Here is a 26782-nt window from a genome sequence, read left to right on the forward strand (position 1 = left end):
CATTGGCCAGAGATCCTGTCTGGAGGGACGTTGCTCACACCTGAGAGGGCGGGTGGGGGTGAGTTGTGTTCTGAGAGCAAAGAGCAATAACACCCCTCATCTCCCCGCAAGCACACAAGAGAGGTCTGTCTTCCCAAGGGACAGCTGGTGGCAGGTGGCCACATCCCGGATGGTGCCTGTGTGTGACCATCACACGCTCTCTGCGCCCCCTGGGCTGCAGCAGGCAGGCAGGACACAGGGTGCCTGGCTTATTCCCGGGGAGGCTGTGGGCCCTCAGGCAGCCACTGTTCTGTGTCAACACTAGGCTTGGCCTGGGATGCCCCAGAGAACAGGACAGATGGAGCAGGGGCGGGCATTTAGGGAGCAGTGACAGAAAGAGTTGATGAGGATGGAGGGAGGTCACGAGGGGAAAGAGCTCAGCGTGGCGTCGCGTGCACCAGCGCTGCCCTGGGAGATGCCTTTAGCTGGGCCCAGGGAAGGAGCAGGTGTGTGGGGCTGGAGCTACCTACAGAGGGAGTGGTGTTAGGTTGGCGGCCGCCAGGTCAGAGAGGAGCTGACAGAGTCCATGTGGGGAGCATGGAGGGCGCTGAGGACTTGGGCCGAATTGACCCTGGTGAGGGTGGACCCTTCTGGGCTGTGGGTTCTAATGAGGGACGTTGGCATCCCCTGGGAAGGCTCCAGGCTGGGAGGGACTCTGTCGTCCTCTGGTGGACAGGGAGGGAAGTGTGAACGGCAGCAATCCCAGGCCAGGCTGCATGTTTTATTCCACATGGATCTGCACACTTCACACGAGGTCACACTTACGTTATGTTACAGCTCCTTCACCTTCCAGCCCCGTGAGTCCCAGTCTGTGTGGCTCTACGTTCACTGTTCTCCCTCTTTCACAATCAGATGTCCCAAATGCAGATTTTTGTCACCTTCTGTGAGTTTGTGTTTGTGTGCAGTAGGCAGCACTGTGTATACCCTGGGGGCAGTGATGTCTGGGGCTGAGCACTGCAGTTGGGCTTGGGAGCAGAAGAGGGAGCAGCAGGATGGGAAGACCAATATCAGGGGGGCAGGGACAAGTCATTTTCATTTTCTCACTCCCAGGGACCAGAACCCAGGATTCTGACTCCAGGGCACAGTACCACACCCTGCTGGTGTCCCTGGATGTCATGATGCTCATAGTGTCATGTTGCCTTGGCATTCATTTTTATAAGGTGTAAGTTTATTTGCCTCAAATCAGAGGCAGGGCTTGGTCACCATGGCAGTTTTCAATACTGTATCTGGTTCAGGTGGCTCCAGTTGGTGTCCAGAGATAAAATCTTAGAGGCATCTCTGCTGCTTGGTGTGCTGGGCTCCCGTCTCTCCAGCTGCTTTCCTTAAACTGATAATTCTGACATTCGCCCTCACATTTAAAGTGACCACCTCTCAGTCACAGCGTGAGCTCCTGGTCCCAGTGTTTGCTGCTTGCTTTGAACACATCCATTAAAGCTCCCTGCTGGAAACCTGTCAGATAACACCCTGGACTTAATAAAGCCATTCGCTTACAGGTCTCTTCTCTCCTCCCTGCCTGGGCTCACTGACCTCTGTGTCTGTGGTCTCCAGGTGTGCCAAGTGCTCCCCAGTGTCTGTAAGTAGTAAAAATCTTACAATTTCACATTGTGGTTGTATTGCTGTTGCCTCACATGCCATCCAGGGCCTGACATTGAGGCTGCCTTATGGGACCTGTGCTGGCTGAGCCCCTGCTGGAGCTCTTGTTTTGGGGCCTCTGGTTCTGCTGGGGACAGGAGCTTCCAGCTAACTTGATTGAAAACTGATGCCTTTCATTGAAAACACTGGGTCAGATGATGTATTCATGGGCTTCAGCTGCCATAACAAACACCTTAGCCTGGGTGAATTAAATAATAGAAATCTATTTTTCACAGTTCTGTGAATAATGTGCTATTTTAACCACTTTAAAATAAACAATCAAGTGAAATTAACCACATACACAGTGTTAAATTACCATCACCAGTATTTTTCCTAGAAAATTTTTATCATTTTAAACTGAAACTTTGTATCTTTTAAACAATAACTCCCTGTATGTTCCACCCTAGACTTTGATCATCTCTACTCTGTCTCTATGAATTTGCCTATTCTTAATGGTTCATATAAATGGAATTATACAATGGTGTTATTTTGTTTCTGACATATTTCACTTAGCATAATGTTTCCAAAGTCCATGCATGTTCCAGCGGGTGTCAGAGCTTCATTCCTCTTTATGGCAGATTAACATTCTGTTGTATGTGTCACCATATTTATTTATTCATGTGTTGATGAACACTTGGATTGTTTTCATATTTTATCTTTTGTGAATAATGCTGCAATCAACATTCCTATGCAAGTACCTGTTTGAGTCCCTGGATTTAATTTTTTGGGTATATACCTAGGAATGGATGTTGTTTCAAATGAGAATTCTATGATTAGCTTTTTGAGGAACAGGAAAACTGTTTCTCCTAGTGGCTGTACATTTTTATATTCTCACCAGCAATATATGAGGATTCGAAATTCTACATAATGCTGCTACTTGTTATTTAACATTGTAAAAGAATGGTAGCCAGTTTTGTAGGTGTGATTGGTGTCTCATTGTAGCTTTGACGTTGTATTTTCCTAATGACTAATGATGTTGAGTATCTTTTCATGTCCTTCTTGACTATTTGTATATCTTCTTTGAAGAAATGTCTATTTGAGTCTTTTGCCCATTTATAAATTGGATGGTTTGTCCTTTTGTTATTGAGTTGTAGCTAGTTCTTGATATTATCTGGACATGAAAACTGCCTATATGTGGTTTGCAGATATTTTCTCTCATTCTGTGCCTATTAATTATTTTCTTGATAATTTCCTTTGATGTACAAAAGGCTTACATCTTGATAAAGCCCAATTTATCTTTTTTTCTTGTTTCTCATGCTTTTGTATCATATCTAAGAATCCACTGCACATTTGAGATCATCAATACTTACGTCTATGTTTATTTTAAGATGTTTTTATGGTTATAGGTCTTATATTTAACTCAGTGATCAATTTTTTAGAGAATGGTTTGATATCGTGGGAGGTAGAATTATCTAAATTAACTGTTTTGCATGTGGTTATCTAGTTGTTTCTGCACTATCATTTGAAAGGAGAATTGTTCCTCCATTAAATTGTCTTGATACCTCCTTCAAAGAGTAATTGACCATAAGTGTCAGGGTTTATTTCTAGACTCTCAATTCTATCCCATTTGTCTTTATGTCTATCTTTTGCCAGCAGCTTCTGTTTTAATAATTGTACTACTTTGTCAGTTTTCAAATAAGAAAGTTCAAGTCCTACAATTTATTTCGGCAAGATTGTTTTGGCTATTCAGTGGTCCTTTTTGAAAGGTGGGAAGGCCAGTGTTTCACAATTGGGAAAGCCTTTTCTGTCTTCTTCAGGGGGAAATTTGGGAGAACCTTCAAGAAACTTATTCTAAGTAGGTAAACTGTCACCACTTTATTTGCTGAAGTGCTATGTTAAAGTGTGCATTGCCTCTTGTGGAAGAATTGTGAGACCCTGGAAGCACTTGCCCATGTGGTGAGAGACAGTAAATTCCACGATGAGGGGGGAAGGGAACATTGTTTTAGGACACCGTGTTGTTGGGGAGTTGTATACATCTCTACTTATTTATGTCTCTGTACAGTGGGTGTAGGGACCAGCCCCACAGGGTCGGTGGGTTTTTCTCCACATGTACAGAGATGAGAGATTGTAGAAATGAAGACACAAGACAAAGAGATAAAAGAAAAGACAATTGGGCCCAGGGAACCACTACCACCAAGACGTGGAGAACGGTAGTGGCCACGAATGCCAGGCTGCGCTGATATTTATTGTATACAAGACAAAGGGGCAGGATAAGGAGTGTGAGCCATCTCCAATGATAGGTGAGACCACATGGGTCACGTGTCCACTGGACAGGGGGCCCTTCTCTGTTTGGCAGCTGAGGCAGAGAGAGAGAGGAGAAAGAGCTTACAGCATTATTTCTGCTTATTAGAGACTTTTAGTACTTTCACTAATTTGCTACTGCTAACTAAACAGCAGAGCCAGCTGTACAGGATGGAACATGAAGGCAGACTAGGAGTGTGACCACTGAAGCACAGCATCACAGGGAGACGGTTAGGCCTCCGGATAACTGTGGTTGGACCTCACTAACATCAGGCCCTCCACAAGAGATGGAGAAGTAGAGTCTTCTCTAAACTCCCCCGGGGAAAGGGAGACTCCCTTTCCCGGTCTGCTAAGTAGTGGGTGTTTTTCCTTGACACTGAGGGTACCTCTAGTCCATGGTCCACTTGGCAACAGGTGTCTTCCCAGACGCTGGTATTACCACTAGACCAGGAGCCCTCTAGTGGCCCTGTCTGGGCATAACAGAAGGCTCGCAATCTTGTCTTCTGGTCACTTCTCACTATGTCTCCCCAGCTCCTATCTATTTATGACCTGGCTTTTCCTAGGTTATAATCATAGAGCGAGGATTATTATAATATTGGAATAAAGAGTAATTGCTACCAACTAATGATTAATGATATTCCTATATAATCATATCTAAGATCTATATCTGGTATAACTATTCTCCTTTTATATTTTATTATACTGGAAAAGCTCGTGCCCTCGGTCTCTTGCCTCGGCACCTGGGTGGCTTGCCGCCCACAAGTGGGCATCTCCGTTGGACACAGTAGGTTTTGAAATCCTTGTTTATTCTCTGGGGTCTGGGTCTTGGCTTACCTGTTAGCTGCAGCTGAAAGAGGTGTCTGCTAAGTCAATGACACCTGTGGGGAGAAGAAGGATTCAGCAGAGTGAAAGTAGCTGGGACTCAGAGAAGCCAGGAAAGTCTGACTCTTAGAAACTGTGGGTCAGCAGATGGGTGTCCTCAGGGATAAATGGGCCATGCCGGTAGCCACTGCAGTGAACTGGAAGAAGGTAAGGGATGCTGGGTATCCCATGTTCTCTCTCAGCTCTGCAGCTGAAGATTTGGGCCCTGGGCTAGTACAGCCCTGCAGCAGGGGAAGGGTATACAGGAATGGCTGCATATCAGGACCAAGTCCATGTCATCTTCTTAGGCATTGTTACTGCAGATGGAGGATTCTGTTCAGAGACCTGGCCTGGACACATGGGAGGGCCCACCCCATTCTTTTAAAATTATTTTAAGAGAACAGTATTAGCAAATGTGGTACATGTTTTATTCTGCTAGAATCAGTATTACTGTCACGTTTTACACTGTATCTCTTAGGAAATGGTGAGAGCCATCCACACAATGTGCATTTAAAGGAGACTCTACTATAATTTCAGCTTTCCTACTCTTTATAGAAACCATCTTCTCTGCAAACACACAGGCAATATCTCTGTGTTCATTTCTATTGGGAGCCCTGTATGCAAGATGGAGAGAGCCACATTTCCCCTGAGATGTTACGTAAAAGTTTGAGGTTGAGATGACATATCTGACACTCTGTTGTTACCCTCAGAAGCTACTACATGTGAAATTCTAATGACTGCATTATCCTGCCAAGTGAAAGAGGCAGGCATGAGCAAGGACGGTTAAGAGGGGTGGGAGCCTTATCATGATGGGGAGTCTTGTTCTGACATCTTTGGAAAAACTGTCCACAGTGTGAAGTCATCAACTTGTTATCCTGGTTTACAGTTTGAGTAGCTGTTGTTATGGTGTCGAACATTTTGGTGAGTTCTGAGTGGCTCACATGTCAGGTACAAGGGTTTTCCCATGAAATTTACATCGAGTTGTCCACCTCCAGCTTATAGGGCTTCTGGAACAGAGTGGGTCTTGCTCTTCGTGATTCCATGGGAGAAAATGGAATTGGAGGAACTAGTAGAATTCAGGGTAATATCCAGTCTACAGGTGGATAATAAAAACACAGAAACAATGAACAGAGCTGCAATCTCATAACCGGTGTACTACAGTTTTTATTTTCCACATAATTTTTCTCTCTATGGGCATCTCTAGTTTTACCAATGATAATTTCAGTAGAATAAGTTTGTTTGCAAAATAGGTTGAGTTTCTTCAAACGTGGTCTGATTCTTTACATAAGTGCAGCAAGAGTAGCAATAGACCATGTAGGCGCTCTTTTAGAATTTTATTTGCTCTAAGTTTTTATAAGGACTCTCAGATTAAACTTTTACAAAACCCTTGAGAATAGGAAGCCAAACCAAGGCTGACTTCAGACTTTGCCTGCAGTTCATATTGGTTCATTCTATCTATATTCTTGAATATAACATCCCAGTCAAAGCCTTGGTAATATAACCAATGATTTGAAATGTGTCCTGTTACAAAGAGAGCAGATTGTTACTGTACTTGTGCAAATATGTGTATTACCATAAACATATCAATACTCATGAATAGTTGCCCAATTCTGGGGCAGTCAGGTAGAGAGCAAAAGTAAATGTTTCAATTACGGTTCCCAGAAGTATAGTTTATTGAACTGCTACAAGCTATAGATAGATTAAAAGAAAAAAATTCCATAAATCTAGAAAACAAACCATTTAAAGAATCAGCAAATTTTCAAATAAAAATCATAAAAATATTATCCTCAATATTGTCAATTATTTCAATGAAATCAATGTTTCTCCTGCTTGGTCTAGGCTGGGAATTTTAAGAAGATATCAGCCTGTTTGTTAAAGTTTTGGAAGTTCTTAGACAAATTGGGAGTGTTCAGGAGTAGAATTTGGGATTTGCTTGTGCCCATGGGACACAGGCTGGGAATAAAAATGTTTTCCTCACTCTTCCCTGAATGCCAGATAGACTCCACCTAAATCCCTATTGCCAAGGATGCTGGGATCCACTTACCAGAGACTTTGACTGTGATGGATTTGGAGCTTTCCTTGCCAGTGGCTGAGTTACGAACAGAGCAAGCATAGAGCCCACTATGCTTTGTAGTTATTTGGGGGATAGAGAGCTTTTGTCCTGATAGCTGAAACTTCCCATTAATTGTCCAAGAATATTGTGCCCGTGGGTTAGACTCGGCGAAGCAGGACAAGTAGAGGTTTTCTCCTGAACGGTAATAGGTGAATGAAGGGTAAATGCTGGGGAGGTCTGGACCATCTGGCGCAAAGAGAATAAAGCCATAGGTGATGTCATCCGAGGGAAGGGGATGTTCCTGGTCTCTTAAAGGGACACAGTTACCCTCTAAGCCAAGACACACCTTCAAGTCCCAGCCAAACTCCCTCTATGTTCACTGAGCCGAAGCCTGAGGTATTCACCTGTTTCTCCCATCACAAGTTTTAGGCCCCAAGTCTCCCATGACAAGAGCGTCCCCTCCCCTTATATTCTTGGTTAAGGCTGTGCCTACCTAGGTTTTCCCAGGGCAGGGAGTCATGGCCACCTCGGATGTCCAGAAGTAAAGGTGTCTATACTTGGACTGGAGAGAGACTGAGAGACCTGGCCTCTGGTGGTTTGGATTTAAGCTGGTGTCCTGGCCCACAGAGGAACAAAAGATACTCACAGAGGACATTCAGGGTGACTGGGTCACTGCGGATGCCACCATATCGGTCCCGTATTTCACATTGATAAGGTCCTGTTTCATTTCTCGTGACATTGGGTAGAATGAGGATCCTGTTTTCAATGGGTCGCTTTACCCTGGGACTGACAGGGAGGCTCTGACCATTTAGCCACCAAATGTAGGTGTAGTTCTTACTCTTAGGTTCACAGGTGAAGGTTAAGACATCCTTATTCTCTCTGGGGTTTAAGTTGTTGATTGTGATGTAGGGCTTGGACAGCTTTGCTGTGTGGATAACAGAGAGAAGATTGTCCTGTGTGGCACCTTTGATTCCTCCACAGGCATACTTCAATCAGAGTTGGCATCTCCCACCTCTCAGCCCACCCGAGTCCTTGAAAGCCAATAGCTGGTGCTTCTGTCACAAGATAGATGCATGATGATCTAAGGGCTCAAAGACTGTGAGGCCACCTGCTCTGTTTTAGGGAGGCACAGACTTTCTCAAGTGTCAATTGAGCAGCAGTGTTGGGTCATGGACAGACATATCAGTGGGAGTCACAGCCCCTTGTACCCCTCCCAGTCCCTCCCTAATCAGTTAACTTGCTGGCTCACCTTGGGTTCCTTACCTGGAATGTGCAACTACTGGGCCCCTTCCAAATTCCATCCTCCTTTGCCCCCCTAGATGAGATTTCTCTGCAGCTTCCATTTCAAGGACATTCTAGAGATGAGTAATAATGGGACTTCCCATTGTCCTGAAACCCTGAAGATACTGAGCAGTCTGGCCTGGGACTGGATGTTTCAGCAGAAATAACACAGGAGAGACCAGAGTCAAGCCTGGAGGTCAGTTCAGTCATCAGCCAGTGGAGGCAGAAAGTGGGGCAGTGTTTTGCAGGTGTTTCATGATGACTTACTTGAACCAGTGACCTCTAAAGATAGAGCAGAGTGCAAGGAATGATCTAGAAGGAGTCAAGGGGACAGGCAAGAGCTGGTGGCTTTGGAGCAGAACCATGTTCCCTGTCCTGGGTTCTTTAAGTTTCCTCTCCTTCTGCAGAGGGCAGGTGAGGACCATGTGGATCTTTCCAGAAATACATATGGACATTTGCAAAAGCAGAACTGACTGGTGGAAAGTGTGGGAATGAACTGCTGGAAATCTGGTCCTCATGGACCATGTGTGTTTGATGGATATGAGACAAATTTGGAGAGAAGTTTTGCAAATATTTTCTTTCATTGGACATTCTACTCTCTGATTCCCTGGGTTCGACTACTCTAGGGACCTCATGTAAGTGGATTCCAGAGTGAATATGAGAAGAGACTGCTGTTTGCCAGGAGCTGGGAGTGGGGAGAATCAGAAGTTGTTCATGGGTGTGCAGTTTCAGTTATGCAAGGTGGGGAGGTTCTGGAGATCTGCTGTAGAGCTTGATGCCTATAATTCACACAGATTGAGTATTATGCATAAGACTTAGAACAAAAAGTGTTTTGGATTTCTGACATTTTTTTATTCTGAAATATTTGTCATATGCTTACTGGTTTAGCATCCCAAATCTGAAAGATTCAAAATCTAAAATGCTTCAGTGAGCATTTCTTTTCAGCATCAGATTAGTAGGCAAAAGTGGGAGGTGATAAGCCAAAGATATTCTTGCCCTTTTTTTTTCTCTCACCACGTTTCTAGCTTGATGATTAGTTTTTGGTCAATTCCATACTGGCCATGCTGCACTCATATATTTTTTAAAGCTTTGGGATGTGAGAAAGGCTGATTGCTATTTTCTGTCGTCAGAACTTTCCACGTTTTCATGGTTGCCTCTTTTTCTCAGTGTTTCTGTTGTGGCAGTCATTAATAAGAGCCTGTCAGGTCAGATTTAGGACAGAGTTTTATAATTCTGCAAAAAAATGTTACTGGGATTCTGGTAGGGGTTGCATTGAATCTGCAACTAACTTTGGGTAGTATTGTCTTTCTAACAATATTGATTCTTCCAATCCATGAAAATGAAATGTCTTTCCATATATTGATATCGTCTTTAATTTCTTTCAGCAATGTTTTGTAGTTTTCAGGATATAATCATTTGACCTTTTTGATTAAACTTACTCCAAAATATTTTATTCCTTTTGATGTTAATGTGAATTGAAATTATTTCCTTAATTTCCTTTCAGATTGTTCATTGTTAGTGTATAGTCTAAAGAATGACCTAGAAAGAGTGAAGGGGACAGGCAAAAGCTGGTGGTTTTGGAGCAGAAACATATTCCCTGTGCTGGGTTTTTGATTTTCCCTCTCCCTTTGCAGAGGGCAGGTGGCTTTTCCCTGATAGCTAGATAGACTTCACTGGAAAACATATTGCCAATGCTCCAGGGATCCACTTACCAGGCACTATGATCCTCTTGATTATGAGATTTGTTCCATCAGTGGCTGAGTTATGGATGAAACAGACCTAAACCCCTCTATATGTTTTAGTGATTTGGGGGATAAAGCACACTTGTGCTGATTGCTGGAACTTCCCATCAATCAGCCAAGAATGCTCTGCCAGTGGGTGAGAGTCTGTGAGGCAGGAGAGATTGGGGAATTCCCCTGTATGGTAATAGGTGTATGAGGAAGAAATGGTGGGGGCATCCAGGCCATCTGGAGCAAAGAGAATAAAGTCACAGGTGACATTGTCAGAGGGAAGGGAAAATCCTGGTCTGTGGAAGGGCCACAGTGACCCTGTGAGCCAAGTCGCAACACTGAAGTCCCAGCCAAATCCCCGCTGTGTTCACTGATCTGGAGCCTGAGACCTTCACCTGTTTCTCCCATCACAAGCTGTGGAACCTGAGTCTCCCATGACAGGAGCAGCCTCTTTTCTCCTATTGTGGATCAAGCCTAGGCCTACTCTGGTTTGCCTGGGGCAGAAAGTCATGGCCAGCTTTGATGTCTAGGGGTAAAGGTCTCTGTACTTGGACCTGAGAGGGACTGAGAGGCCTGGCCTCTGGCCATGTGTATTTGGGATGGCAGCCTGGCTCACAGAGGAACAGAGGATACTCACGGAGGAGATTCAGGGTGACTGGGTCACTGCGGCTGGCACTCACTGGGTTCCGTATTTCACATTCATAGGGTCCTGCAATATACTTTGTGACACCAAATATAAAGAGGGTCCTGTTGGTTTTGGACAGCTGCAACCTGTGAGTCATAGGGAGGCTCTGACCATTCATCCACCACTGGTAGCTTGCGGCTGGAGTCGCAGGATCACAGGTTAAGATCACAGCCTCCATGGCCTCCCTGGGATTTAAGTTGCTGCTGGAGATGGAGGGCTTGGGAGTCTCCACTGTGCAGAAAACAGAGAGAGGTTTGCCCTGTGTGGCATCTTTGATTCTTCCAAAGGCATTTTTCAATCAGAGTTGGCATTTCCCACCTCTCAGCCCACCCAAGTCCTTAAAAGCCCATGGAAGATGTGTGTGTTAAAGACAGATGCATGGCAATCTGAGAGCTCAGAGATTGTGAGGCTGCCTGCTTTATGTGGGAGAAGCACAGACTTTCTTAGGTGTGAATTGAGCAGCAGCATTGGGTCATGGAAAGACACAGGACCAGCAGTCACAGACCCGATGCCTCTCTGAGTTCCTCCGTCTCCAACTGCCTGCCTGACCCACCTTGTGGTCCTCACTTGGAGCATGCAGTGCTGGAATCTTCTTAGTTTCAGTCTTACTTTGCCCCCCGAGGTATGTTTTCTCTGCAGCTTCCCTTTCCAAGGACATCCTAGAGATGGATGATGGAACTTCCCATTGTCCTTAAACCCTTTGGGTACTGGAAAGCCTGACCTGGGACTGGGTACTTCAGCATAAATAACACAGGGGAGACCAGAGTCAAGCCTGGAGGTCAGTTCAGTCATCAGGCAGTGGAGCCACAAGGTGGCGCAGTTTTCCCAGGTGTCTCATGGTGACTGACTTGAGCCAGTGACCTCTAAAGATAGAGCAGAGTCCAAGGAATGACCTACAAAGAGTGAAGGGGACAGGCAAGAGCTGATAGCTTTGGACCAAGACCATGTTCCGTGTTCTGGGTCCATGATGCTCGCTTCCCCCTGTAGAGGGCAGGTGAGGACCATGTGGATCTTTCTAGAAATACATGTGGATGTTTGCAAATGCAGAACTGACTGGTGGAAAGGGCGAACATGAACAGATGATGGAAGTCTGGCCCTCATGGACCATATGCGTTTGGTGGATATTAGACCAATATTTGGGAAGAAGTCTTGCAGATACTTTCTCTCATTAGACATTCTACTCTCTGATTCTGAGTTTGACTACTCTATGTACCTCATATAAGTGGATTCCAGAGTGAATCAGAGAGTAGAATAGTAGTTTGCAGGAGTTGGGATCAGGGGAATAGGGTGTTGTTCCATGGTTGTGCATTTTCAGTTATGCAGGATGAGGAGGTTCTAGAGATCTCCTGTACAGCTTCATGCCTATAGTTCATACAGATAAAGTGCTCCTTATGCAGAAAGGTTAAAACAAAGTGTTTTCGATTTCTAATTTTTTTATTTTGGAATATTTGCAGTACATGTACTGGTTTAGCATCCCAAATCTGAAAAATTTAAAATCCACAATGCGCCAGTGAGCACTTCTTTTTAGCATCACATCAGTGGTCAGAAGGGTTGAGTTTTGAGCATTTCAGATTGTGGATTTCTGGATTTGGGATGCTCAATTTGTAATACTGTAATTTTCCCGTAAAAAGTTGTCAGGAATTTAGACCTCATGTTGTGTTCTGACTCTAGTAACAAAAAAAAATTTGGAGGAAACATTAAAATGTTTTCATAAGTGGAAACTTTTACTGATGATCCAGACATCGAAGATCAATTGCTGGTAGTAGTATTTCTCTTGAGACCAAAATAAGGTTTAGGTGTGCCGTGAATTCCAGCAGGATCACATTATGCTCAAAGAAAGATGCCAAAGGTGATTGGAAATTAGCAGCTCCTTAAGTAGAGAGAGTCCCATTAAAAGGACAGAACTGGTCAGTGCGTCAATTACATAAAGGGAGGAAGGATGCCAAATTAAAAGAAGTGATGTGTGTTATGTTAGTAAATATAGAAAGAACTCCCTGCTTCTAATTTCTGTGCAGAGTTAGGAAAAATGGGGAGGACCCCAAAACAGGTATGTGGAATGCTTTCTTCATTTTCTGTTAAGCTCAGGAAATACCACTAAAGTTTAAGTTTGTGTGAAATAGGAAGAGTCTAAGTGAGATGCCAATGGCTCGTGTGTCTGCCCACGTGAAGAAATCCAACTTATGAAAATGGCATCATCATGAGGAAACAGTTGTATGTGGCACAGGCAGTAAAACCATCAGATAGCACCCACCTGGTCACCTCCAACTGGTCCGCAACACCACCAGTATTCCCATTATGTGTATGTTACAGCCTTTGTAGTTGTCCCACAACTACAAAATTTAAAAATTGCTATTGTCAAAAAAAATATTAAATATGAAGGCGAATATGTTGTTCCACTTTTTTTTCCCCACCCTTTTTGAACTTTCCTGTTTCAGTTTTGGAAGTTTCTATTGACACATCCTCAAGCTGGGGGTTCCTTCCTCAGCTGTGTGCAGTCTACCAGTAAGCATCAAAAGCATTCTTCATTTCTCTAACAGCATTTTTTTTCTGAGACAGAGTCTCGCTCTGTTGCCCAGGCTGGAGTGCAGTGGCATGATCTCAGCTCACTGCAAGCTCCACCTCCTGGGTTCATGCCATTCTCCTGCCTCAGCCTCCCAAGTAGCTGGGACTACAGGCATCCGCCACCAAGCCCGGCTAATTTTTTGTATTTTTAGTAGAGACGGGGTTTCACCATGTTAGCCAGGATGGTCTCCATCTCCTGACCTTGTGCCTGCCTCGGCCTCCCAAAGTCCTGGGATTATAGGCGTGAGCCACTGAGCACAGCCTTCTCTGAGGGATTTTAATGAGTTGTTGACTTTTTACTTAGTGTTAGAACGGAGTCACAAATTTTAAGCTTGTTATATGCCTGACAGGAAGCCAGAAGTCTCTAGGAAGTGACAGGAGAATGTGAGCTGCATAGCAGGTTGAGGATGGAGTCCCAAGTGATACAGGAGAAATGAGTCCATGTGCTTTGGGGACTGCAGGCCTGTCCAGCCTCTGACACCCTGGTGAGTCAGTGCAAAGATTACAGCAGTGACAGCAAACTAGCATGTCTGAGTCCATCTGGCATCTAGTCTCAGGCTGGCTGTCCTCACTCGTTCCTGGGCATAGGCCAGGCTAACCTTGGGAGGAATTTAGTTTATGGTTTGACTTTGAAGCAGGAATGATAATAGTTCCTCCATAAAACTAACACCCTTACTTTGCCCAGGGACGGCCTTTGTCAAACTAGTGAAAGACCATGAGATTAAGATTATAGGAGGGAACCGAATTCTGCTAAAATGTAGGCACAGTTTATGTAATCCCTGACTGCTCCAGTGTCATTTGGCAAGAGTTTACAAAATTTGTAACTAATTGCTCCTATAGATAACATCACTATTGTAGAACGCGAGACTGGTCTTTTGAGATGTTTCTCATTCTTTTGCATTCTGGCAACCGGCTGACCTCATTCATACCTATGACTAATGGCTCAGCCAGTCATGTGGTCCCTACCTAGAGGCAGATTCAAGCACAAACAGATCATTTCCCTCCGCCCGCATGATTCCATCACCAAACAATCACCAAAAAATGAGCAGTACTCAATTTTTAGTCCTGTGACCCTGAAACTGTCCTTGAAAATCTCTAACCCCTGCTCCACTGGGGAGGCTGATTTGAGTACTAATCAACCTCCAGCCTCCTGTTTGGCAGACTTGGAGTCGTTAAAATCTTTCTTGACTAGAAACCAACATTTCAATAATTTTGTGTGTGTGTGTGTGTGTGTGCAGAAGGCCAGAAGAACTTGTCTGGCAATTATGAGTGGATGGAGGAACTGCCTATCCCTGTCCCATTGTCTTGTCCACAGGTCAGCCTCACAAAGGGAAAGAGCCCTTGAAGGGAATACAGTAGAAGCTCATTCTCTTAGTGACCTGGGGACATTGGCTCGAGATGAAGCCTGGCAGGAGTGGCAACTCCAGGTGATTTCTGCACCTTTCCTATTTCCTGGGAGGTGGGCCAGGCCACAGTGTTAGCGGGAAAGGAACTGAACAGCCAGACTAGTCAGAGGGAGTGTCTGGGGAAGGCCTAGGGGTGGGGGAAGAAGCTGTGCAGGACAGGGCTTGCCAGTCAGAATGAAGTGGGAGGAAGATGAGGGACACAGAGAAGAAGAGAGAGGCAGAGACACCATGGCAGTGAGCAGTGAGGGTTACACTGACTTCAGAGACCCCAGGGACCAGGTGCCCCAGTTCCACAGTCCAGGACCAAGGAGCCCAGAGAACCCTCTGGTGGCCAAAGAGCTTCAGAGTTACATGAGGTGGGGTGGCTTTAGGGGCAAGAGGTAGTGGGGGGATGAAACGTGGGTGTCAGCCTCTGAAGGACAAGGGACAGGTGTGGCTAGAACCTCCTATGATTCTGCATCCAACATCCAGTCTCTAAAGAGGTTTTGGATCATTCATTTCTTCATTCCATTCCTTCATTTGTTATGTGAGAGCTCCTGAGTGTGTGTCTCTCGCTGGGCCTGTGCTGGTGCAGGGTGTGAGTGGGGAAAGAAAACAAGGTCCTCTCCTTGATCTTCTCATGACAGTGACATGGGCACTTTGGGAAACACAGGATTTCAAGTTCAGTGATGGGGGTTAAGATCTGAGGGGGAGGCCTGGACATATTTTTTGCACTGACTCTGATGGTTGAGGCAGGTGATTTAGTTCTGGAGTGCAGACTAATCAGCTGACCATTTGCTCTCACTCCTCTGAGGTTTGGATGCCTAAAAAGAGAGGATTTGAGCCAATAAATGACTATGGGGTGCTTGGAACCCAGTAAGCCCTCACTTCTGGTGGAGGAGAGGAAGGGCCTGTGGCTGCAGACAGACCTCATGTGACCCCGATCTCCCCTTTGTGTTGGTGTGACTCTGGTTCAGTGACTGTGCCTTCCTGTGCCTCAGTTTTCTCTCAATCAAATAAGCTAAATGGCAAATGGACTGTGGCTTTTCATGCTATCTGTGAATAAATGTTAAATGATTCACAGTCACCTGACCTAATGCTTGGCACAGTGGAGGTTTCACACAAACAGCATTTATTATTAATTTGCTTCCATGAGAAAACACCTTTACATCAGATCCCTGTGGACAATCTGCTACCAGGTACATCTTCTCCTTCTGTTTCTGCTTCTGGGGACATTAGACTTTCTATGGACTCTCCTAAGCCGATGTCCTACAAAGCTTGTCTTTCTATCCTCTCCACTCTGAGTGTCAGGTGAAGAAAGCTCTGTCCTTGCCCAGATGAGGCTCTGAGGGCTGAGCCCTGGCTGGTGAACAGCTCCAGGAGACACAGTCCTCTGACAGCTGGTAAATTCTTGGTCCCAGTAAGGCCTGCCCAAGAAGGAACAACCCAGCACTGGCACAGGCTCCTCAGCTTTATCTGGAGCAAGGATTTAGGGACAGAGGTCTGGGGTTGAGGCTTCTAGGGCTGAGCTGCTCTGAGAGTATCTCAGGGGGCCCCTCAGGCCAGCCCTACTCAGTTCTCCAGGGTCTTTGTCAGCGTCAAATTTATGAAGAGGGCATGAGGTGCTTGTCTGAGACTGATCTCCTCCTGCTGAGTCCCCCCATCAGACTGTCCTTCCTCTGCAGCGAGTGTCTGCAGGGTCTGAATGCGGGAAAGGAATTCTGATCTGTTGAAATTTGTCTCCTCTGTGTGTCCTGCACTAAATGCCCAAACCCCAGCATGGGACTTAATGCAGAGAGGGACACAGGCAGAGTCCAGGCCTGAGAATCCTGTGTGTGTGAAGTAGAAGTGACCCCTGTCCCCCAACACCCAGGGATCATGTGGAATCACTCACGGTGTAAGGTGAAGGTGAAATGTCCAGTTACTCCTCCAGTCCCATCGCGTCGCTTTATGATGTGTAAGGTGTAGGATCCTGCATCCTCCTGCGTGACATTCTGGATCAGCAGGGATGCATTGGAATATACTCTTTCTCTTCCACTGTATGCAGGCCCATATATAATTCTTTGACCGTCTACTACATATGATGTAATGTAATGGTAGAGGTATGTCATTTGCCCTTTGTACCAAATGTAGCCAGCAAGATTCTGGGGCAAATTGTGGACAAGTAGAAGAACATCCTTCCCCTCAGAAACTTTGGGTGGCTGGGCTTCAATCGTGACTTGGGCAGTTGTGGGCGGATTCCAGAAGTTTAAAAGTGATGCTAGGAGGTACAGAGAGCATCAGTTAATATTGAGACCTATGTATTGGGGTGAAAAGATGGGTCCTGAGAAGGTCTCTTCAATCCTCAGCCTTGAAGACACACAAACACACACATACAAACACATACACACACTAAAGGGGCGTGAGTGTATGTGTGTGTGTCCTACTGTCCCACTAGGTCAAGATCAGCAGCATGACCCCCATTCCTTCAACACTTCTGACCTTGGCATTTTTCTTTTTGGATTCCTCTTCCCCAGGGGTCCGCACGGCCCCCTCCACACTGCCCTCAGGTCCTGCTCACATCAGGGCATCCTTAGACTTCTTTCCTGATACCTCCTTCAGAGACCCTGGGTCTTCCCTTTCTGACCTTTCCCTGCTCTCCTCCCTCCAGGGTTCTTGTCAACACCTGATCTCACATTCTAGATCACTTAGCATGTCTGTCTTCCCCCCACGATGACTGTGTGAGCTCCGTGAGGACAGGGACTTTTGTGATCTTGGTTGCACCCCAGTACCTGGAACAGGCGGCAGACTCCTGTAGATGTGAGAGTTCTCAGGGTCTCCACCCTCTGGATGTTTCTTTTTCCCCCCAATTGTTGAGGTTTCTTGCTGAGGACAGTGTTTCATGTCCTGCTTATATTTTCATTTGAAGTGTCATCTGATATAGTTATTGTTATCATTTTTCAAAATATGGTGGCCCCTGATGATTAATCAGGAAAACAGAACACTTAAGATTTTCCTACCACTTACCAATTCCGCTTCAATGTGACTTTCCTATTTTGACCCTCTGGTGTATTTTCCCCTATCCAGGCTCCAACAGAGCCTTCTTTCCCTTTTCTTCTTTTTTCTTTTTTTCCTTTTTTCTTTTTTTTTTTTTTGAGACGGAGTCTCGTCCTGTCACCCAGGCTGGTGTGCAGTAGTGCTATCTTGGCTAGCTGCAACTTCTGCCTCGTGGGTGCACGTGATTCTCCTGCCACAGCCTCCTGAGTAGCTATGATTACAGGAGCACACCACTATACCTGGTTAATTTTTTGTGTTTTTAGTAGAGACAGGGCTTCACAGTGTTGGCCAGACTGATCTTGAACTCCTGATCTCCTGATCCACCCAACTCAGCCTCCCAAAGTGCTGGCTTCTTTCATTTTTCAGAACCCCATCCTCTCCAGGAGACCCCATCCAGTCACTCTGCTTCCTCCTCCTGTCCTCTCCCAGGAAGTTCTCTCCTCACCTGTGAGCAGGACCCCCTTCCAGGTGATGCGCTGTGTGCAGGGAGGGGCTGAGAGGGGCCCCATGGTCTCTGCTGCTTGTGTGTTCTCCTCTGTGGAGATAAGCCTAGGATCCAGAAGCTTCCTGAGTACGGCTGTCAGCTGTGCTGTCCTTCCTCCTTCTGTGCTGAGCCTCCTCCCGGGGCAGGAGCATTTCTCAAGCTCGTGGGCGGGGTCAGGCCCAGGACACCTCTCTGTCCCCTCCTCTCTCAGTTCTGCCTCCTTGTCCCTCCTGTTTTTCCTTTTGTCTGTGTTTCAGGTCCCTGGGAATTGTGGAGGCCTCTGCATTTTTCAGCAGTGATTCTTTCACCAAACCTCAACACACACTTTGTGCAGATGCACACACACACACACACACACAGAAGAGACACACACGACCCACATGGTCACACACATACCCTGCAGGTTAGGCAAGCAGAGTCCTGGGCCTCAGCCTCCTGCTGTCCCCATGGCTCTGGGGTAGGGTGCACATTCACGCCCTTTACCCTCTTCCTTCCTCATCTGGCTCTCCCCTTCAGTGCAGGAGCTGCACAAGGTTCCCGTCACAGTGACGTCCCATTGTGCTGTGGGTGAGCTCTGTGTTGTCTGGTAAGAGGGACCCTTCCTTTCTCTAATCGTGTCTAGCTTGGCTGCAGCTTCCAAGGATGAACATTCAGTACCTGGGTTTCCCAGAGGAAACTATCCATCCTGGAGGTGTGCAGGGTGAATCTCTCAGGCCTCTTGGGAGGAGAGGCCTGTGCTGATTGCTCAGTGGGGGCTGTGAATCCCAGAGTCAAAGGGACAGTTCTCGGTCACTCTGTGTCTCCCTGGGGTCTGGCGGCTGAGCTGGAGCTCAGGGTTTCTCATGTTCTCCCTGACCACCTTTGATGTCCTCTCTTCTCTGCCCAGCTGATTGTCCTGTGGTCACCACACCTTCCCCGTGGTGGTGCAGGAGGAAGTGGGGAGTTACCCAGGAACCCCGCGGGACATGGCTTGTTGAGACGCAGGAGGGGGAGCCTGGGACAGAGCAGGGGTTCAGAGCTGGAGAGATTCATCCCGACTTACTCCGTGGCCATGATGGGCTCAGCCCTCCCTGTGCTGACATACCCAGGGGTCTGTCCTGAGGGTTTTGACCTGGCCAAGCTGCTCTCTGTAGAGGAGGAACAGGCAGTGGCCAGAGAGCCTGTCTGGAGGGACCTTGCTCACACCTGAGAGGGCGGGTGGGGGTGAGTTGTGTTCTGGGAGCAAAGAAAAATAACACCCCCCTTCTCCCCACAAGCACACAGGAGAGGTCTGTCTTCCCAAGGGACAGCTGGTGGCAGGTGGCCACATCCCGGATGGTGCCTGTGTGTGACCATCACACGCTCTCTGCGCCCCCTGGGCTGCAGTGGGCAGGCAGGACACAGGGTGCCTGGCTGATTCCCGGGGAGGCTGTGGGCCCTCAGGCAGCCGCTGTTCTGTGTCAGCGCTAGGCTTGGCCTGGGATGCCCCAGAGAACAGGACAGATGGAGCAGGGGCGGGCATTTAGGGAGCAGTGACAGAAAGAGTTGATGAGGATGGAGGGAGGTCACGAGGGGAAAGCGTCCAGTGTGGCGTCGCGTGCACCATCGCTGCCCGGGAGATGCCTTTAGCTGGGCCCAGGGAAGGAGCAGGTGTGTGGGGCAGGAGCTACCTGCAGAGGGAGTGGTGTTAGGTTGGCGGCTGCGGGTCAGGAAGGAGCTGACAGAGTCCGTGTTGGGAGCATGGAGGGCTCTGAAGACTTGGGCCGAAGTGACCCTGGTGAGGGTGGACCCTGCTGGGCTGTGGGTTCCGCTGAGGGAGGTTGGCATCCCCTAGGAAGGCTCCAGGCTGGGAAGGACTCTGTCGCCCTCTGGTGGACAGGGAGGGAAGTGTGAACGGCAGCAATCCCAGGCCAGGCTGCATGTTTTATTCCATGTGGATCTGCACACTTTACATGAGGTCACACATATGTTATGTTACAGCTCCATCACCTTCCAGCCCCTTGAGTCCCAGTCTGTGTGACTCTACGTTCACTGTTCTCCCTCTTTCACAATCAGATGTCCCAAATGCAGATTTTTGTCACCTTCTGTGAGTTTGTGTTTGTGTGCAGTAGGCAGCACTGTGTATACCCTGGGGGCAGTGATGTCTGGGGCTGAGCAGTGCACGTGGGCTTGGGAGCAGAAGAGGGAGCAGCAGGGTGGGAAGATCAATATCGGGGGGCAGGGACAAGTCATTTTCTTTTTCTCACTCCCAGGGACCAGAACCCAGGATTCTGACTCCAGGGCACAGTACCACACCCTGCTGGTGTCCCTGGATGTCATGAGGCTCATAGTGTCATGTTGCCTTGGCATTCATTTTTTAAGATGTAAGTTTATTTGCCTCAAATCAGAGGCAGGGCTTGGTCACCATGGCAGTTTTCAATACTGTATCTGGTTCAAGTGACTCCAGTTGGTGTGCAGAGATAAAATCTTAGAGGCATCTCTCCTGCTTGGTGTGCTGGACTCCCCTCTCTGCAGCTGCTTCTTTAAACTGATAATTCTGACATTCGCCTTCACATTTAAAGTGACCTCCTCTCAGTCACAGCGTGAGCTCCTGGTCCCAGTGTTTGTTGCTTGCTTTGAACACATCCATTAAAGCTCCCTGCTGGAAACCTGTCAGATAACACCCTGGACTTAATAAAGCCTGGGCTCACTGACCTCTGTGTCTGTGGTCTCCAAATGTGCCGAGGGCTCCCTAGTGTCTGTAAGTAGTACAAGAACATACATTTTCACGTTGTGGTTGTATCATTGTAGCCTCACATGCCATCCAGAGCCTGACATTGAGGCTGTCCTATGGGACCTGTGCTGGTTGAGCCCCTGCTGGAGCTCTTGTTTTGGGGCCTCTGGTTCTCCTGGATACAGGAGCTTCCAGCTAACTTGATTGAAAACTGATGCCTTTCATTGAAACACTGGCTCAGATGATGGATTCATGGGCTTCAGCTGCCATAACAAACACCTTAGCCTGGGTGAATTAAATAATAGAAATCTATTTTTCACAGTTCTGTGAATAATGTGCTATTTTAACCACTTTAAAATCCACGATCAAGTGAAATTAACCACATACACCATGTTAAATTACCATCACCACTATTTTCCCTAGAAAATTTTTATCATTTTAAACTGAAACTTTGTATCTTTTAAACAATAACTCTTTGTATGTTCTACTCTAGACCTTGATCATCTCTACTCTGTCTCTATGAATTTGCCTATTCTTGATGTTTCATATAAATGGAATTATACAATGATGTTATTTTGTTTCTGACATATTTCACTTAGCATAATGTTTCCAAAGTCCATGCATGTTCCAGCGGGTGTCAGAGCTTCATTCCTCTTTATGGCAGATTAACATTCTGTTGTATGTGTCACCATATTTATTTATTCATGTGTTGATGAACACTTGGATTGTTTTCATATTTTATCTTTTGTGAATAATGCTGCAATCAACATTCCCATGCAAGTACCTGTTTGAGTCCCTGGATTTAATTTTTTGGGTATATACCTAGGAATGGGTGTTGTTTCAAATGAGAATTCTGTGATTAGCTTTTTGAGAAACAGCAAAACTGTTTCTCCTAGTGGCTGTACCTTTTATATTCTCACCAGCAATGTATGAAGATTTCAAATTCTACATAATACTGCTACTTGTTATTTAACATTTTAAAAGAATGTTAGCCAGTTTTGTAGGTGTGATGTGGTGTCTCCTTGCAGCTTTGACTTTGTATTTTCCTAATGACTATTGATGTTGAGTATCTTTTCATGTCCTTCTTGACTATTTGTATATCTTCTTTGAAGAAATGTCTATTTGAGTCTTTTGCCCATTTATAAATTGGATGATTTGTCCTTTCTTTATTGAGTTGTAGCTAGTTCTTGATATTATCTGGACATGAAAACTGCCTATATGTGGTTTGCAAGTATTTTCTCTCATTCGGTGTCTATTAAATATTTTCTTGATAATTTCCTTTGATGCACAAAAGGCTCACATCTTGATAAAGCCCAATTTATCTTTTTTTCTTGTTACTCATGCTTTTGTATCATATCTAAGAATCCATGGCACATTTGAGGTCATCAGTATGTACCTCTGTGTCTATTTTAAGATGTTTTTATGGTTATAGGTCTTATATTTAACTCACTGATCAATTTTTTAGAGAATTGTTTCATATGGTGGGAGGTAGAGTTATTTAAATTAACTGTTTTGCATGTGGTTATCTAGTTTCTGCACTATCATTTGAAAGAAGAATTGTTAATCCATTAAATTGTCTTGACACCCTCTTCAAAGAGTAATTGATCATAAGTGTGAGGGTTTATTTCTAGACTCTCAATTCTATCCCATTTGTCTTTATGTCCATTCTTTTGCCAGCAGCTTCTGTTTTAATAATTGTACTCCTTTGCGAGGTTTCAAGTAAAGTTCAAGCCTACAATTTATTTTGGCAAGATTATTGTGGCTATTCAGTGTTCCTTTTCTGAAAGGTGGGGAGGCCAATGTTTCACCATTGGGAAAGCCTTTTCTGTCTTCTTCAGGGGGAAATTTGGGAGAACCTTTTAAGAAACTTTATCTAAGTAGGTAAACTCTCACCACTTTATTTGCTGAAGTGCTATGTTAAAGTGTGCATTGCCTCTTGTGGAAGAATTGTGAGACCCTGGAAGCACCTGCCCACGTGGTGAGAGACAGTGAATTCCATGATGAGGGGCAGAGAGGATGTTGTTTTGTGATACAATGTTGTTGGGGAGTTGTATACATCTCTATTTCTTTGTCTCTGTACAGTGGGTGTAGGGACCAGCCCCACAGGGTCGGCGGGTTTTTCTCCCCATGTGTGGAGACAAGAGATTGTAGAAATAAAGACACAAGACAAAGAGATAAAAGACAGCTGGGCCTGGGGAACCACTACCACCAAGATGCGGAGATCGTTAGTGGCCTCGAATGCCAAGCTGTGCTGATATTTATTGGATACAAGACAAAGGGGCAGGATAAGGAATGTGAGCCATCTCCAATGATAGGTAAGGTCACATGGGTCATATGTCCACTGGACAGGGGGCCCTTCCCTGCCTGGCAGCCAAGGCAGAGAGAGAGAGGAGAAAGAGAGAGAGCTTACAGCATTATTTCTGCTTATTAGAGACTTTTAGTACTTTCACTAATTTGCTACTGCTAACTAAACAGCAGAGCCAGTTGTACAGGATGGAACATGAAGGTGGACTAGGAGTGTGACCACTGAAGCACAGCATCACAGGGAGACAGGCCTCTGAATAACTGCGGGTTGACCTGACTAATGTCAAGCCCTCCACAAGAGGTGGAGGAGCAGAGTCTTCTCTAAACTCCCCCGGGGAAAGGGAGACTCCCTTTCCCGGTCTGCTAAGTAGTGGGTGTTTTTCCTCGACACTGAGGCTACCACGACATCATGGTTCGCCTGGAAACCGGCATCTTCCCAGACGCTGGCGTTACCACTAGACCAAGGAGCCCTCTAGTGGCCCTGTCTGGGCGTAACAGAAGGCTCGCACTATTGTCTTCTGGTCACTTCTCACTATGTCTCCCCAGCTCCTATCGCTGTATGGCCTGGCTTTTCCTAGGTTATGATTATAGACCAAAGATTATTATAATATTGGAATAAAGAGCAATGCTACCAACTAATGATTAATAATATTCATATATAATCATATCTAAGATCTATATCTGGTATAACTATTCTTCTTTTATATTTTATTATACTGGAACAGCTGGTGTCCTCGGTCTCTTGCCTCGGCACCTGGGTGGCTTGCCGCCCACAAGTGGGCATCTCCATTGGACACAGTAGGTTTTGAAATCCTTGTTTATCCTCTGGGGTCTGGGTCTTGGCTTACCTGTTAGCTGCAGCTGAAAGAGGTGTCTGCTAAGTCAATGACACCTGTGGGGAGAAGAAGGATTCAGCAGAGTGAAAGTAGCTGGGGCTCAGAGAAGCCAGGAAAGTCTGACTCTTAGAAACTGTGGGTCAGCAGATGGGTGTCCTCAGGGATAAATGGGCCATGCCAGTAGCCACTGCAGTGAACTGGAAGAAGGTAAGGGATGCTGGGTATCCCATGTTCTGTCTCAGCTCTGCAGCTGAAGATTTGGGCCCTGGGCTGGTACGGCCCTGCAGCAGGGGAAGGGTATACAGGAATGGCTGCATATCGGGACAAAGTCCATGTCATCTTCTTAGGCATTGTTACTGCAGATGGAGGATTGTGTTCAGAGACCTGGCCTAAACACATGGGAGGGCCCACCCCATTCTTTTAAAATTATTTTAAGAGAACAGTATTAGCAAATGTGGTACATGTTTTATTCTGCTAGAATCAGTCTTACTGTCACGTTTTACAATGTATCTCTTAGGAAATGGCAAGAGTCATCCACACAATGTGCATTTAAAGGGGACTCTACTATAATTTCAGCTTTCCTACTCTTTATAGAAACCATCTTCTCTGCAAACACACAGGCAATATCTCTGTATTCATTTCTATTGGGAGCCCTGTATGCAAGGTGGAGAGAGCCACATTTCCCCTGAGATTTTACGTAAAAGTTTGAGGTTGAGACGACATATCTGACACTCTGTTGTTATCCTCAGAAGCTACTACATGTGAAATTCTAATGACTGCATTATCCTGCCAAGTGAAAGAGGCAGGCATGAGCAAGGACAGTTAAGAGGGGTGAGAGCCTCATCATGATGGGGAGTCTTGTTCTGACATCTTGGGAAAAACTGTCCACAGTGTGAAGTCATCCACTTGTTGTCCTGGTTTACAGTTTGAGCAGCTGTTGTTATGGTGTCGAACATTTTGGTGAGTTCTGAGTGGCTCACGCTTCAGGTACAAGGGTTTTCCCATGAAATTTACATTGAGTTGTCCACCTCCCGCTTATAGGACTTCTGGAACAGAGTGGGTCTTGCTCTTCGTGATTCCATGGGAGAAAATGGAATTGGAGGAACTAGTAGAATTCAGGGTAATATCCAGTCTACAGGTAGATAATAAAAACACAGAAACAATGAACAAAGTTGCAATCTCATAACCGGTGTACTACGGTTTTTATTTTCCACATTATTTTTCTCTCTATGGGCATCTCTAGTTTTACCAATGATAATTTCAGTAGAATAAATTTGTTTGCAAAATAGGTTGAGTTTCTTCAAACGTGGTCTGATTCTTTACATAAGTGCAGCAAGAGTAGCAATGGACCATGTAGGATCTCTTTTAAAATTTTTCTTTGCTCTAAGTTTTTATAAGGAATCTCAGATTAAACTTTTACAAACCTCTTGAGAATAGGAAGCCAAACCAAGGCTGAGTTTAGACTTTGCCTGCAGTTCATACTGGTTCATTCTGTCTATATTCTTAAATATAACATCCCAGTCAAAGCCTTGGTAATATAACCAATGATTTGAAATGTGTCCTGTTACAAAGAGAGCAGATTGTTGCTGTACTTGTGCAAATATCTGTATTACCATAAACATATCAATACTCATGAATAGTTGCCCAATTCTGGGGCAGTCAGGTAGAGAGCAAAAGTAAATGTTTCAATTACAGTTCCCAGAAGTATAGTTTATTGAACTGCTATAAGCTATAGATAGATTAAAAGAAAAAAATTCCATAAATCTAGAAAACAAACCATTTAAAGAATCAGCAAATTTTCAAACAAAAATCATAAAAACATTATCCTCATTATTATCAATTGTTTCAATGAAATCAGTGTTTTTCCTGCTTGGTATAGGCTGGGAATTTTAAGAAGATATCAGCCTGTTTCTTAAAGTTTTGGAAGTTCTTAGACAGTCCAGTGGTATAATCTGAAAGTTATCAGAAACTTGTATTAAAGAGTTCTTGTCAGCATCTTTTCCATAAATCTCCTTGAAAAGGAAGCAGTTTTGGACTGTAGCTGATTGGAAATGCTTTGAGGAAGAATAAAAACAACATCTGTGAATGACAAAGATTTTAAATGACTATGGTTTAAACTCTGATGATAATTCATTATGATAACACAGCTCACAAAAAAAGTTACTTCTGTGGTATATGACATTATGGCTGATAACATATTTAATTTCTAGGAATCTCATACAATTTCTGGAACAATCATATCAGTAACATATCCATTAATATAACATAGAGAAAGTTTAGCATCCTTTACCACTTATGATTTGAAAATGCTTTTCATATAATTTTACATATCAAATAAAGTGGCTTTTCCATGTAGCTTGTGTTTCTCAGCAGGATTACTGAGGTCTTTGTGGAGGCCATTAATGAATAGGGCCAGGAAAGTATAGGCTCATGTATGCTGAAAAATTTCCCTAGATAATTCCAATACTCCCAGCTAATAAGCATTAATTTAGGTCTAAGTTTTACCTATTAGAACAGCTGTTCTTTATCCTGGTTACACATTAGTAGCATCTGGGAAGACTTAAAAACTAACAATGCCTGCCAGATGCAGTGGCTCATGCCTGTAATCCCAGCACTTTGGGAGGCTGAGGCAGGTGGATCATGAGCTCAGGAGATCGAGACCATCCTGGCTAACACGGTGAAACACTGTCTCTACTAAAAATACAAAAAAATTAGCCGGGTGTGGTGGTGGTTGCCTGTAGTCCCAGCTACTTGGGAGGCTGAGGCAGGAGAATGGCGTGAACACAGGAGGTGGAGTTTGCTGTGAGCCGAGATGGTGCCACTGCACTCCAGCCTGGGCAACAGAGTGAGACTCTGTCTCAAAAAAAAAAAAAAAGTTACCAATGCCTGAGTCTCACTTTAGACCATTAAATTGGATCCTCTGGGTGGGGCTTGGGCATCCATTTAAAAAAATGTTTTCTG

At 45.3% G+C, this 26782-nt stretch overlaps 1 protein-coding gene and 1 long non-coding RNA gene across 9 annotated transcripts in view; both read right to left on the minus strand.

Moving 5' to 3' along the window:
- Positions 1–5179: 5179 nt before the first annotated feature.
- On the minus strand, positions 5180–18116 carry PSG4 (pregnancy specific beta-1-glycoprotein 4). 8 transcript variants are annotated; one of them, XM_047439103.1, is made up of 7 exons: positions 17951–18116; positions 17241–17425; positions 16364–16729; positions 10475–10753; positions 7473–7751; positions 6818–7072; positions 5180–5866 (listed from the first exon to the last, which is right to left on the minus strand). In XM_047439103.1, exons 2-7 carry the CDS (start codon positions 17350–17352, stop codon positions 5850–5852), a joined length of 1308 nt encoding a protein of 435 aa, XP_047295059.1. In that variant the 5' UTR covers positions 17353–17425; positions 17951–18116; the 3' UTR covers positions 5180–5849. The 8 variants fall into 8 exon arrangements, with proteins under 8 accessions (XP_047295059.1, NP_002771.2, XP_047295061.1 ...); NM_002780.5 differs by lacking the exon at positions 17241–17425; XM_047439105.1 differs by lacking the exon at positions 10475–10753.
- Positions 18117–24268: 6152 nt separating this feature from the next.
- The window catches only part of LOC284344 (uncharacterized), a 36856-nt gene continuing 34342 nt past the window's right edge, over positions 24269–26782 (minus strand). The window contains exon 9 of the long non-coding RNA NR_033888.1: positions 24269–24953. This is a non-coding gene — a long non-coding RNA (uncharacterized LOC284344). The remainder of the gene's footprint in view (positions 24954–26782) is intronic.

The sequence above is a fragment of the Homo sapiens genome, chromosome 19 (genome assembly GCF_000001405.40).
Source record: "Homo sapiens chromosome 19, GRCh38.p14 Primary Assembly".
In the NCBI taxonomy this organism is placed as follows: Eukaryota; Metazoa; Chordata; class Mammalia; order Primates; family Hominidae; genus Homo; species Homo sapiens.

Coding starts and splice junctions, on each gene's coding strand:
- PSG4 (XM_047439103.1), bottom strand. CDS start 17,352: ATGAAACACTGTCCTCAGCAAGAAACCTCAACAATTGGGGGGAAAAAG. Junction 7,752..10,474: donor AGTCACCCTGAATCTCCTCC/GTGAGTATCCTC, acceptor TTATCCACACAG/CAAAGCTGTCCAAGCCCTAC. Junction 7,073..7,472: donor AGTCACCCTGAATGTCCTCT/GTGAGTATCTTT, acceptor TCTTTGCGCCAG/ATGGTCCAGACCTCCCCAGC.